This window comes from Homo sapiens, chromosome 20, assembly GCF_000001405.40.
Source record: "Homo sapiens chromosome 20, GRCh38.p14 Primary Assembly".
Classification (NCBI taxonomy): Eukaryota; Metazoa; Chordata; class Mammalia; order Primates; family Hominidae; genus Homo; species Homo sapiens.
In genome coordinates, this window is record NC_000020.11 from 41985998 (window position 1) to 42000494 (window position 14497).

The following is a 14497-nucleotide window of genomic DNA, read 5'->3' on the forward strand; positions in this document are numbered from 1 at the left end:
AATCATCCTGAAACCATCCCCCTGACTGTGGAAAAATTTTCACAAAACTGGTCCTTGGTGCTAAAAAGGTTGGGGACGGCTGGTCTGTGGCATCACCATTACCTAGTAGCTTCTTAGAAATGAAGAACCTTCATCCTCACCCTGGACCTGCTCACCCAGGATCTGTAGTTTAATACCATATCCAGGTGATTCCAATGCATATTAATTGGTATGCTTTTGTCTTCCCCAGGACCCCTACCTGCAGATATTTAGCTCCAATTTGAACCAATTCAAATTAGAAAGGATCCAGTCCAATGAAAGAAATAGATTTGTTATGAGAAGAAAAAATGACCACCCCCTCTACCTTTTTTTTCCCTCACCTCACTTTTATCTAAGTATAGCTAATAAAGGACCAGATTTTTAAGAATTATTTTTAAAAATTTACTTATGTCTTTAATGCCTTATTATTTTTTCCTGGTGCTGAGGTTAGGGTAGAAGTAAATTTTAGATTCTGAAGCTGTTACCATAAGCCAATCGTTGTCCTATCCCCATCACATTTGTTGGGGACTCCCTGCATTACTGGCCCTGAATAACCACTGAGTGAGAGGTAGGGGTATTTCACAGGGGTGATAAAGTAGGATGTGTCTCAATGGTGGAAATTCGATTTGCACGCTGCTCAACCAGAATCAGCATAAACTCTGAGCCTTGCTCTGGCCATGACCTGGGTAGGTAGATAGATCCAGATTTATCAATGGCTCTGAAACAAAGGGAAAACCCCACACACTATGGGAGGCCAGCACTGACCACCAGATGAACAGGAAGCCTTGATGTATATGCTCTCATAATATATCCTTCTGTGTGAAATACTACAAATTTCTCCCAAGACAAGAAGTTGTTACATTCATTTTTTGGCAAGTACAAGAGGCAGTCATCCCACAAAGTCTAGGAAAGGGGATATATCTTTTGGATTGCAACCCCTCAAATGGACTCCTCAAGTGATTTGGGGTACTCTTCCTGCTGCCCCATTAATGGGGACATCTGGTTCTAGACCCAGCCCCTCCTAATTTGATTTCCATTTGCTGTTGAGCTTGAAACTCCTATTCTGGAATTGCCAGAATATCCTGAATTCTTCACAAAAGTCTTCTTGAGGGGGAAGCATTAATAGAGCTCCGTAGAGAGCCATGAGTCCTTCTCTCCCTAAGGTCTTGATACAAGAGAGTCTTGTTAACTGTCAGCCAGTATCACACTGGTTACCTCCTGGAGCCTCTGTGGGAAAGAGCATCTCAATGCTTTGAGGGAGACTTTGGGTTGAAATAGGTTTCCAGGATAATTAACACCAATTGAGAACACAGGCAAAACTTCTTGTCTTCCAAATTTGAAGCCCACATTAGCTAATTAGTTCTAATTAGAGGCTGACAGTTCCATGTGGCACAGTGAGCATGTAATAGGCAGATGTTTTTGTATGTGTCTTGACAAATTAATGAAGATGGGTTGGGGGATTTCTTTACAGGCCCATGGGCCAGCTAGGTGCTAGAACATATCTTTTCTTGGGAAAGGGTTTTGGTTTTGGGGAAGCTTACGTGGTGCCCCCAGAGGAAGCCCATCTATTGATAATAATGCCTTTATGTATTCCAGAAACACATAGTGAGCACCTACATTGGCGAAGAATTGGTCGAAGTAGTGAAGGAGACACTACTTTCACTATGTGGAATCCCAAAGTCTAGTTGGGAGGCAAAAATAAACCGAAAGGATCCAGTGGCATCCTAGCCAAAGCAGTAAGATAAGAAAAATACAAAAGGAGATCTAAATATTAGGAAGATCCAAAATGCCACAGTTTGTATGATTCCATTTATATGACATCTTGGAAAAGGCAAAATTATAGTAATGGAGGACAGATCAGGGCTTGCCGGGGTTTGGGGATGGGAAGAGGTATTGACTAAAAAAGGGCAGCACAAAGGAATTGTTTGGAATTGTTCTGCATCCTTATTGTGGTGGTGGTTATACAAATCTGTGTATGTGTTGAAACTCGTAGAACCGTATGCCAGTTTTCCTGCATGTTATTTTAAAAAATGAAAGAAGAAAAAATGGATTACAGCTTATGTATGGACCAACATCTATGCATCTCAGTGTCGAATAAAACCCACAAATTTATTTTACATTGTTTGAATTTTCAGACAATTTTGAAAAGCATGTCTTTAAAAAGTAATCCTTAGCTCAGTTTGTATACATACGTATTTTTATAACATGAAGATCTTTTGCATTAATGCATAAACTAGTTGAAATAAACAAGGAAAGAATTGTAAACTTTAACTCATATAAAAATAAATTAACATAAAAGTGTTAAATTTGGGTTTATAGGAGATATGGAGAGAATCCTCATGGCATTTGAGACTCTAATTCTAGTTTTTCCTGAGCCTTTGGGTTTAGTGAGGTGCCTCAATATCCTCATGATAAATTTACCATACTTGTTTAGCCTAAAAAATACCATGATTTATAAGTGACATGTCTGTCTATATAAAAAATTCAAGAGACTCAGCTAAAAGTAGTTGATGCTAATAGGAGTGTTCAGTAAGGTAGTGGGATGTAAGATGAACATGAAGAAAAATAGCATTTCCATTGATTAGAAATATGTAATTAGAAAATACATATAAAAGGATCCCATTTATAATAGCAGCAATAAAAACAATATAAAACTCTGGGTAATTAACTAAAAATAGTCCAGATTTATATGAAAGCAAATACAATACTTTACTGAAAGCCATGAAGAATGGCTGGAATCAATGAAGAGACATATCATGGTCCTGGATTGGAAGAGTCAATCAAAAGTGTAAAGATGTCAGTCCTTCCCAAACTTATGAGTAAGCTCAAAGCAATCTCAGTGAAAATTTGCGTGAGCAAAAGCATAGGGGACGTGAAAGCTGATTCCTCAGAACGTAAGCAATCTAGGCGGACTGACTGAAGCATTGGTGGTGAGAGTATGAGGTGTTCTCCTGGGACCAGACTATGAAGAGCCTAGGCTGCTAGACTGAGGACCATGCCCTTCATCTGACAGCCCATAAGAAACTCTCGAAGATTTCAGTTCAGGAACTAATAAGATCAGAACTGTGTGTGAGAAATAGATCTTGGCTGATGTGTAGGATTGAAGGAAAGGGTGAGACCCAAGGCAGGGACCCTGACCAGGAGGCTGCTAACTGGAATGGTCTGAAATGACTGCCATGCTGCCTGATCCAAAGGAGTTTCCCAGTGAATATTAGCACTCTCCCCTCCCCTACACCCCACTCCCCTGATCTTCCTTTCTCTCCCCTTCCCTCCTCCTCTGAAGCAAAAACCCAGTGGAGAAATGAACTAACAGAGTTGCCCTGAGAGGGGGTGAGATATTTTCTGCCAATCTGGGGTCATTGGGGAGGGTTATCTTAAGGAAGATGCCAAGGTTTGGAATCTGGAAGCCTGGGTGGACAATGATGATGATAAATGCTACTTTAAATATTTATTTATTTATTTATTTATTTATTTATTTATTTATTTAAGACAGAGTCTCACTCTGTTACCCAGGCTGGAGTGCAATGGCACAATCTCGGCTCACTGCAACCTCTGCCTTCTGAGTTCAAGTGATCCTCCTGCCTCAGCCTCCCCAGTAGCTGGGATTACAGGCACACACCACCACACCAGGCTAGTTTTTTTTTTAATTTTTAGTAGAGACGGGGTTTCACCATGTTGGTCAGGCTGGTTTTGAACTTCTGATCTCAACTGATCCACTTGCCTCAGCCTCCCAAAGTGCTGGGATTGCAGGCGTGAGCCACCGCGCCCAGCCTAAATGCTACTTTTTATTGAGCATCCACTATCCGTAAGACAGGAACTAGCACTATCCCATTTTTTAATTTTTAAAAAAAATTTTTAATATATTTTTTATTTTTATTTATTTATTTATTTTTTAAAGAGGAAACAAAGAAGTTAAGTGTTCAGAAAGCTGAGGCAGGACCTAACCTGGTCACTGGTCATATCACCGACATCCCAGCACCGGGTACAAAGAGTTCAGCAAATGTTTGCTGTTCACCAGATGTTGCTTCTCTAGAAATGTCCTTGCTGTGGGTTTGGCTGATGCCTTATCTTTATGAGTAAATCCCTTTTCCTTTCATAAATAAGTCACCATTTTGCAAGGAGGGGAAGAGAAGCGTTGAACAGGAAGGGTGGGGAGGTAGGAGCAGAAAAGAAGGGGCTGAGTAATGGAACTCGAGGTGTTTTTATAAATTAGGAACCACCCAGCTTGCCACTGACCCAGGCATCTTTATCAATTTGCTCCTCCAGGCCATGCCAGCCTAGCACAATAAAGCTTCCTGTCCATTTCAGGCTTAATCACACAGAATGTAAATCCCTCAGCAGAGAGGCAGCTGCGAGGGATGGGGCACAATCCGCAGGGCTGTTCATTTTCATCTTCTGGCACGTAATGAAATCAGGAATGCATGTCTGCTCACCAGGGCTTCTTTGCTCCAAATTGTTAAGTAAGCATCCCTGCTTTAGCCTCATTAGACTCCCAAGGCCGCTGATGAAGGGGGATGGAAGCCAGCATTTATTGAATGATTCTGGTGTGCTAGATACTTTCTACGTGATTCACTCCTCTAAAAAGCCCCGTGACATGGGCACTATTATCCTTATTTTACAGCTAAGGAAACTGAGCTCAGAAAGGTCAGCCCAAGATCATGGACGGATAAAATGAGTAGGGAATCATGAAGCGACATATCTGTGCAATTTCAAATCCTATACCCCAAGCCTTTTTTTTTTTTTTTGCAGTTATTAGATATAAAATAACTTTTATATAATTTTGGGGGGATTTCTGGGAGAAGTTTGAGGGAACTGAAGGTTATTACTTTTCATAATTCATTTTGGTTGTGTCAATTTAATTAACATTCACTGAGACTCTGATCCACTGTGGCTCTGATTTTTAGGCATAACTTGTGTGTCCATCATTCATGCTAAATAGAGATAGTAGTCCTGTCCTCTGCTTCTGCTCCTTTTTCTTCTTCTTAGTTTTTAGACATCCTGGTTTGTGTTCTAGTTCATAATATCTGCCCTAAGATCTTCATTCTTATTTTGAAAACTACATTTAGTTCCTCTTCTAATACCCCTTGTCCTGCCTCATCCGATTCTTATTTTGCCCCTTGTACTATTCAGGGACACCTGCGGCTCCAGGTCAGAGATGCACCTGCTAGTCCTGCCTCTACAGGACCCAACCCATCAGTTCCTAGCTTGTCCTTCTGGTGAGAATTGAGCACACTATACTGTGGACATAAAGACAAGTAAGTTGTCATTCATGCCCTGGATGAACATGGAACCTAACTGGGAGGTAAATACACACCTGAATAATTAAAAAATAAGCTATAATTGAACAAATGCTAGAGTAAAGTGCATACAGAAATTTTAGGAAGTTGGTGGGTAGGGGAGTAAATAATAATGTGTTGTTCCTTAAGTCATAATAAATTTCAAAATATCTGTTAACATCTATTTCCTCTATTCCCATTACTATGTGAATTCTTAGTTCCTGACAAATGAATTAGTTGAAACAGTAACATTATTTTGGTATTTTTATTTATTGTTTATTCAGTCTGGGTCAACATCATAGAATGCTGAATCAGCAGGCAATTCCACAATAATCTGCTTGAGTACAAGAATTTGAATATGATATGTTGTAGGGATAGCAGGATACCAATATGGGGAGTGGGTTTGGGTAGCCCCCCATACCCTTAAGTGAATAAAGGGCTAGGCTGGAAAGTTATGAATGTGGAATGGATGGTTTGAGAACTCCAGACGTGGGGCAGGTCAACACTGACCTCTTAGGAGGAAGGAGTTTAGATGGGATAACATTTTGACATTCCCTTTGGACAGGGACCCTATGGATTAAGTGGGAAAGCTAGAGAGGGAGAAGGAAGTGGTTGTTCAGATAACATAGGTGGGACTTCCAGATTCAGGTGGCATCTGGCTGTGGCACTTGGGTTCCCTTTTCTCCTCACCCGTGGCACTTCTCATGAAGACACAGAAACCACTACTACTTTTTGGTAACATGGATTCTGGGCCTTGGGTGGAGTTTTTACTTAGTAAAGCAAGGATGATACTCTTGGGCAAAAGAACAGAAAAATACATGATAGGAGATTTTCAGTTATTACTCCTATCTACTTCCTGCCTTAAAGGCAGTGTCTCCACTGAACAAAAGGAGAGAAACCCGCACTTACTACACAGAAGCTGTTTCTGAGGCCATTTAACCTCCAGCACTCCCTATTATCACTTCTATTGATTTACCATTTGTGGGACTAATTTAAACTTTCTAGAAATTAAAAAAGCAGGAAGGGATCGTGGCAGATGAAAACAGGATATGGATCTTTGCATATGTGTCTTAGTCTGTTTGTGCTGCTAAAACAAAATGCCATAGACTAGGTAATTTATAAGGAAGATAAATGGATTTTTTCATGGTTCTGAGGATCTGGAAGTCTAATATCAAGGCGCTAACATCTGGTGTCTGGTGACGGCTGCTCTCTGCTTCCAGGATGGCTCCTTCTTGCTGCATCTTCCAGATGGGATGGACACTGTGTCCTCTCATGGCAGAAGAGTGGAAGAGAAAACACCCACTCCCTCAAGCCCTTTTAAAATGCCGTAATCCCATGCATGAAGGTTTTGCTTTCATGACTTAATCACCTTTTAAAGGCCCCACCTGTTAACACTATCATTTGGGTGATTAAGTTTCAACATATGAATTTTGGGGTGCACATTCAGGCCATACCAATACCAGACTGTGAAATCAACGAAATTGACTGTGAAATCTATGAAAGAGTAGAGCTAGAGAGACCTGTGAGACAGTTATATGCTGGTGAATGTAAATGTCCATGCATTGCTTTTCCTAAAGCAGAGACGGCTGCATACAATTATCCCAGAATATTCCCTCCACATGTTCCGAAGTCAGCCCATTCTGGTCTAGAATACACATGAGAATAAGGACTGTACCACTAGGAATTTGGAATCTGTGCATATTAATCAGCCCTCAGCTTAAGGTCTAGATGTGGATTCTAATTATAGTCATGTAGTTAATAACAAGGACCAAAGAAGATCCATCCAAACTATGTACTGGCAACATGCCTGACCAGCTTTCTCCTTTATCAAGCATGAATAATAGGAAAAACAAAACAAGAGACCTTGAAGATTTTTCTGAGACATAAAAAGGAGAATACTAGATTCAGAAGAAAAATGTCTTGAAAAAATATAAAATAGTTAATAAAGGCATTTACTAGGATGCGTCTTTTTGTGTTCTCAGTAAATTTGAACGCTGAGATACAAGAAACGACAGATGACATAGTAAGATTAAAAGAGTTGCTAAGATGCAAGCAGAAATTGAGATAAAGATTGTAAATACCTGTAAAATCCAATAGCTTAATAAAACTTGTATTGGGATTAGAAGCAGTAAAGAAAATAAATAATATTGCAGAAAATGGAGTTGGTGTTAAGGAAGATGCAGTTAAGAAGATCTCCTGGAATGTAGAGAAAAAGCCCAGGGAAAGAAGGTAGTTATCAATGGGGAGGATATATGGAGGACAGAGAATGGAAATTCTGGGCTGTAGGGACAAAAGATGGAAGCAGTGTCACTGCGCCCAGGGGCAGGGATCACCAAGTAGAAACTGGAAAAAGAGGGAGCCTTGTCCAGCCCAAGTTGGAGTCACAGAAGGGATGCAGTCAAGGCAAGGAAGAGGGGGAAATACCCTTCTTCTTGCTTTCCACACTGCAATCTTCTGCCAGTCTGTATCTCTGGCCAAACCTATCCTGAAGGGAGCGGATGAGGGAACCTGGAAAATGCAGCCTGTATGGGTCAGCCCTACTGTGATACCAAATAAGCAACGGAAAGGGCAGGGATGGGCATGAGGGCAAAAACAGGTGAAGGACTGGTCTATACAACTTAGAAGACACTTTTTACAACAAAAACTGCCTGAGTCAAAAGTTGATTTGACTGACACAAATTAAATGTATCAGTTAAATACGTGAAGGCCAAACATGACAGTAAATGGATTAAATTCCTCCATTAAAAGAAGATCTGTCTTAGATTTGGTTTAGAATCCACCAAAGCCAATTATAGCTATTTGTCAAAGCTTCACCTAAAAGAGGCAAAAAAAAAAAAATGCTAAAAATAAAAACTGAGACTAGGAGTGACAATATTAACATCAGTAAAAAAGTATAGTACAAGGTAAATATAATTATTAGAAGTCATTTTATGCCAATGAAAGAAAATTCACATGAATGCTATGATCCTAATTTCCATTTATCTCAGTGATTCTCAACTAAGTTGGTAAAAGATGCCCCAAAGATCATATCAGAGTCTAAGAAGTCATTTTATAAAAACTCACATACACACATATTCTGATATTCAGCGGGAGGGGGCAAGTAATCCCATTTCCACTGACCCAGAATTACTACTGATGGGCATACATTGCAGCCTTCAGATGTTGTGGCAAACAACCAACCAACCAACCAAAAAAACCCTAAACAAACCCAAAACAAAACAAAACAAAAAACCAAAAAACCATCATGTAGCCTTTGGTTTAAAATAAATGTATGATTAGTAATATTGACTTTGATTTAATAGATTTGGATTAAATTTTGTGTTCTGAAAATGGCAAGAAAATTTTCATTGTTTTTATGCAATAAAACATGGAACATTTATCACAATCTATACTAGTTTATAAAGAAAATTGATGATCAAGATATTGGAAATGATTCTGGATAAAATCTCTGATAAGAATGAAATAAAATTAAAATTAGTTTAATTTTATAAAGTGTCAATGAAAAATTCCAAACATCAGTTGGCTGTTAACATGTGGCTTTATTTCTGGATTTTCTATGCTGTCCCATTGGTTTATGTGTCCAGCTTTATACCAATACCATGCTGTTTTGGTTATTATAATTACGTTTTTGAATGCTGTTGGATTTGATTGGCTAATGTTCTGTTGAGGATTTTTGCATCTCTGTGCATTAGGGATACTGGCCTGTAGTTTTTCTCTTTTACATGTGTGTCCTTATCTGGTTTTACTATGAGGGTAATGCTGGCCTTGTAGAATGAATTAGGGAGAATTCTCTCCTCTTAGATTTTTGGGAGTAATTTCAGAAGGATTGGTATTAGCTTATCTTTGTAAGTTTTGTAGAATTCAGCTGTGAATGCATCTGGTCCTGGGCTTTTCTCTGTTGGGAGAGTTTTTATTACTGATTCAAACTCACTACTCATTTTTGGCCAATTTAAGTTTTCTATTTCTTCCTGATTCAATCTTGGTTGGTTGTGTGTTTCCAGGAATTTATCCATTTCCTCTAGGTTTTTCAGTTTGTTAGCATATAGTTGTTCATAATCATCTTTTGTTTTTCTGTAGCATCAGTTGTAATGTCTCCTTTTTCATTTCTGATTTTGTTGATTTAAGTCTTCCCTTTTCTTGTTTAGTCTGGCTAGTGGTTTATTGACTTTGTTTATCTTTTCAAAGAATTGACTTTTTTCTTTTATTGACTTTTGTATTTTTTTAGTCTCTATTTCATTTAGTTCATTCTAATCTTTACTATTTTTCTGCTAATTTGGGGTTTTGTTGTTTTTTCCTTTTTTAGTTTCTTTAGGTACATTGTTAGACTGTTAATTTATAATATTTCCACATTTTGATGTAGGCATTTATTGATATAAACTTCCCTCTTAGCACTGCTTTTGCTATATCCCACAGGTTTTGGTTGTTGTATTCCCATTTTAATTTGTTTCAAGAAATTTTTTTATTTTCATCTTAATTTCTTTGTTGATGTAATAGTCATTCAGGAGCATTTTTTAAATGAATTTGTATAGTTTCCAGAGTTCCTCCTGGTATTGATTTATTTGTTTTATTCTATTGTGGTCTAAGAAGATACTTAATATAATTTTGATTTTTAAAATTTGTTGAGACTTGCTTTGTAGCTTAACATATGGTCTATCCTGGAGAATATTCTATGTGCTGATGAAAAAATGCATATTCTGTGGTTGTATAGAACGATCTGTAAATGTTAGGCCCATTTGGCCTAAAGTCCAGTTTAAATCCAATGTTCTTTGTTGATTTTATGTCTAGGTGACCTGCTCAATGCTGAGAGTGGAATGTTGAAGTTCCCCACCACTACTGCATTGCATCTATCTCTCTCTTTGGACCTAGTAATATTTGCTTTATGAATCTGGATGCTCTAGTATTGAGTGCATATATATTTAGAATTGTTAGATCCTCTTGCTGGGTTGATCTTTTTATCTTTATGTAATAATGTTCTTTGTGTGTGTGTGTGTGTGTGTGTGTGTGTGTGTTTTGTTTTTTTTTGTTTTGTTTTTTTGTTTTTTTTTTTTTACTGTTTTTGAGTTGAAGTCTGTTTTATGTGATAGAAGTACAACTATTCCTGCTCATTTTTGGTTTCCATCTGCATGGAATATCTTTTTCCATCTTTTTACTTCCAGTCTCTGTGTCTTTACTAATAATTTGAGTTTCTTGTAAGAAGCAAATAGTTCGATCACATTTTTAAAAGACTCTATTCAGCTATTCTCTCTTTTTTTCATTTTATAAACACTTGGTTTTATTGCACAGAAGAAGTTGAAAGTGGACTCCAGTGGAAAGTGCGCACTGGCATAATTCAGTGGCCAGTGCCCAGCCCCACCTGGGCAGCTCTTCTAGAATAGAGAGCTCTGGGCAAGGGCTTGACCACTCCTTTGGAAAACAGAAGGCATGTAGAAATAGTTTAAGACATGTCAAGCATAATGTGTTTGTAACTGCTCATTCATTATTGTGGTCATCTGTCAGTTGCACATGGAGGAAATAAATGCACTTATTTGGAAAGGAGGGAGGCAGTTTTTTATAGTCAAGAGTTTACGTGTGGCATTCAGCATGTACCACATTCAGCTACATAAGCTTTCATAACAATTGTCCATCGCTTGGGGAGGGTGTGGGGGCAGGGGGCTGGGAGTGCCCTCTCTTGCTAACATATTGCTAACAGAAATTCCTGTTTGAAGAAGAAGGCCCCATCATCTAAGCAGTTTCTTCTTACATTAAGAGAGAAAAAGTGAAAATTGCATTACTCCGATCCTTGAGCTCTGGGCCCCTTCTGAGTTTCTTTGGCTGCTCCAGACATTCCTTTCTCCGTGCCTTACTTCCCCTTGGCAGCCTTGTCTTCTGTGGCTTTCTCTGGAGGCCTGCTGTCTTTTTGGTCTGTGCTGGAGGATTTTTCAGCCTTTTCTGCTTTATGTTTGCTTGGGTCCCTTGAGAGGGTCTTGTCATCCTCCTTGGTTTTGGCCTCTGTCTTGGGTTTCTCCTCAGGCTTCTTGGCCTCGGTGGCCTTCTCCTCCTTGGTGTCTTTTTTCTCTGGTGCTGCTGCTGCCTCCTCCTTCTCTGCTGGTTTGGTAGGTCCCTTGGCTTTGGCATCATCTGGTTCCTTCTTGGCCACCTGTCATCTCTTTGGGTTTAGCGTCTTCCTTCACCTCCACATTGGCAGGAGCCTCCTTCTCTGGGGTGGCTGCTTTTTTCTTATCTTTAGTCTCTTCCTTCTTGGCTTCAACTTTGGATTCTTTGGGCTTTTCGAGCCCAAACTTGACTTCAGCTGAAGATTTTGCCTCTTCCTTCTCAGAGGACTTCGCTTCCTCCTTTGTTGGGGACTTGGCCTTTTCAGGCCTTTTCAGGGGACTTGACCTCAGCTGGAGACTTTGCTTCTTCCTTCACTGGGGACTTGGCCTCAGCTGGTGACTTTGCTTCTTCCTTCACTGGGGACTTGGCCTTCTCTGGAGACTTGGCCTCAGCTGGTGATTTTGCCTTTTCCTTTGCTGGGGACTTGGCCTTCTCGGGGAACTTGACCTCGGCTGGGGATTTTGCTTCCTCTTTCTCTGGGGACTTGGCCTCAGCTGGTGACTTTGCCTCTTCATTCACTGGGGACTTGGCTTCCTTTTCTGGGGATGTGGCCTCTTCTGTTGGGGGAGACTTTGCTTCTTCTCCCCCTTCTGCCCCCTCCTCTTCACCCTCTTCTTCCTCCTTGCCCTCCTCCTCTCTGGCCTCTTTCTCCTCTTCTTCAGTCACTTCTTCAGTCACTTGGGTCTCCTCCATCTGTTCCCCCACAATCACAGTTTCTCTGACTTCTCTACCACTTTGATCTTCTCTTCACTTTTGACCTTTATGTGAGTGGACACGGAGGGAATTTTGGGGAGTCCTTCTGGAAGCGAGAAAGGAATTGGGCCGAAGCTAGTCCGACACTCTTCGCCTTCCAGGAGTTTTCTGTAAGCGGCTATCTCTATATCCAAAGCCATCTCGACATTAAGCAGGTCCCAGTATTCTCGCAGCTGGGCTATCATCTCCCACTTGGTGGTCCTCAGCTCGGCATCCAGTTGCTGAATGACTTCCTCGTAGGAGGCAATGTTGGCCTGATGACGGTCCTCCAGCTCAGAGCGCTGCCTCTCCAGTGAGCCCTTGGTGCTTTTCAGTGCCTCCAGCTCTGTGGTCCTGGCCTGCAGCTGACGCCGGTACTCAGTTATCTCCTCCTACGCTGAGCACATGGCATCTATGTTCACCTTCGCTGCCTCTAACGTCAGTCCAGCCTTACTCAGAACCACTCCTCGGACTGCAGCGTGCTCTGCACCGCATGGCCTTCAAGCTGCACGCCGCGCCGATCTCGCTCAGCGCCGATGTCACTTCGCCCTTGAGAGCGTTGCGCAACTCAGCCTGCACCTGCGCGGCGCCGCAGCCCTGGGTCTGGCCGAGCAGCTCGACCACCTGCTCCTCCTGGTAGTGGCGCGACAGGTAGCCGCACTCCTCCTGCAGCGCTTGCACCTGCTTCTGCAGTTCCACGCGCGCCGCCTCGGCCTCCTGCGTGCAGCGCGTGAGTGCGCGGGCTGCCGCCTCGGCCTCCTCGCGCTGCCAGAGCTCGTTGTCGAGGCGCTGGCACACGTGCGCGATGTCCTCGAGCAGGTGCTCCTGTTCCAGGCGCAGCTGCCCAGGCGCAGCATCGCACCGCGCGTCTCACGGACCTCGCGGCCCGCCTGCTGCTGCTGCAGGGCCGCTGCCTCGCCCTCCAGGCTGCGGTTGTGCACCTCCAGCTGCCGCTCCTTGTCGATGTAGCCCGCAAAGCGGTCCGTCGGCGCCTGCAGCTGCTCCTCCTCACTGCTCGTTGTAGCAGCCGCCACCACGCATCCCTCTGGCTGGTTGCTCAGCGTGTCCAGCGAGTCGGTGCTCGAGGCGGCGGCTGGGCGAGGCGGACACGGAGCTCACGGACGTCCACGTCCACGAGTGGAAGCCGCTGGAGGAGCCAGCGGCCGAGCGCGTCCCGCCTGTGCCGCTCTTTGGGGCCAGAGCGTAGTGGAGGCTGCCACCGCCGTGCAACGGCAGGAACAGGGCGCCCAGCAACGCGTCCGCGCTTCGGAAGCTCATCATGGCTGGAGCAGGTGCGCGGGGCCGGGCCGGGACGGGGCGGGACACACTGCCTCTCTATCTTTTAAGTGGAGAATTTAATCCGTTTACATCCAAAGTTATTGATATGTCAGGCTTTGTTCCTGTCATATTGTTAATTGCTTTTTGGTTCTTTTATATGTTGTTTGTTCTTTTCTTTCTCTTTTATTGTTTGATGGGTTTCTGTAGTGGTACCACTTGAGTTTTTTCTTTCTCCATTTTGTAATAACTTTTCCAGTGAATTTTATACTTTCATGTATTTTCATGATGGTAAATGTTGTTTTTTCATTTCCATTTTTAGGACTCTCTTGAGCATTTCTTGTAGGACCAGTCTAGTGCTAATGAATTCCTTCAGCATTTGGTTGTCTGAGAAAAACTTTATTTCTCCTTCATTTACGGAGGATAATTTTGCCGAATGTTGTATTCTTGTTTGACATTTTTTTTTCTTTTAGCAGTTTGCATATATCATCTTATTATCTTCTGGTCTGTACGATTTCTGCTGAGAAATCTGTTAGTGTGTTGAAGTTTCCTTTATAGGTGATGAAATGCTTTTCTCTTGTTTTTAGGATTCATTCTTTTTCTTTGACTTAAGACGGTTTGACTATAATACGCCATGGAGAAGACCTTTTGTGTTGTATTTTCCTGGGAATTGCTGGAAGATTGAGCCTCTTGTATCTAAATGTTTAAATATCTTGCTAGACTTGGGAAGTTTTTGTCTATTATTTAATTAAATAGGTTTTCCAATTCTTTCTTTCTCTCTTCACCCTTGGGAATACTGACAATTCAAATATTTAATAACTTCGTGTTGTCCCAAATGTCATAAAGGCTTTGCTTATTGTTTTTACTCTTTTTTTTCCTTTATTTTTGTCTGACTAGATTATCTTAAAAGACCTATATTCGAGTTCTGACATTCTTTCTTCTGCTTGATCTAGTCTATTGTTGGAGCATTCAAATGTATTTTGTATTTGCATCAATAAATTCTTCAGTTCCAGAATTTATATTTAGTTATTTTAAGAAGTATCTATCTCTTTGGTAAATTTCTTATGTTTATTTTGAATTGCTTTTCTTATTTCCTTGAATTG

The 14497-nt window shown here is 41.4% G+C and overlaps 1 long non-coding RNA gene and 1 pseudogene across 2 annotated transcripts in view, besides 1 other annotated feature; one reads left to right on the forward strand and one right to left on the reverse strand.

Moving 5' to 3' along the window:
- The window catches only part of LOC101927182 (uncharacterized), a 204657-nt gene that overhangs the window by 82150 nt on the left and 108010 nt on the right, over nt 1-14497 (forward strand). For both annotated transcript variants that reach the window (XR_001754611.2, XR_001754609.2), the window contains exon 2: nt 5149-5273. This is a non-coding gene — a long non-coding RNA (uncharacterized LOC101927182). The remainder of the gene's footprint in view (nt 1-5148; nt 5274-14497) is intronic.
- On the reverse strand, nt 10938-13450 carry NEFHP2 (NEFH pseudogene 2; annotated as a pseudogene).
- Nucleotides 12622-13123: an enhancer, noted in NCBI's record as "H3K4me1 hESC enhancer chr20:40627259-40627760 (GRCh37/hg19 assembly coordinates)". NCBI's record gives its function as "activates a minimal SCP1, AML or CMV promoter by ChIP-STARR-seq in primed H9 embryonic stem cells {active_cell/tissue: H9 hESC(primed)}" and the evidence as "EXISTENCE:reporter gene assay evidence [ECO:0000049][PMID:30033119]".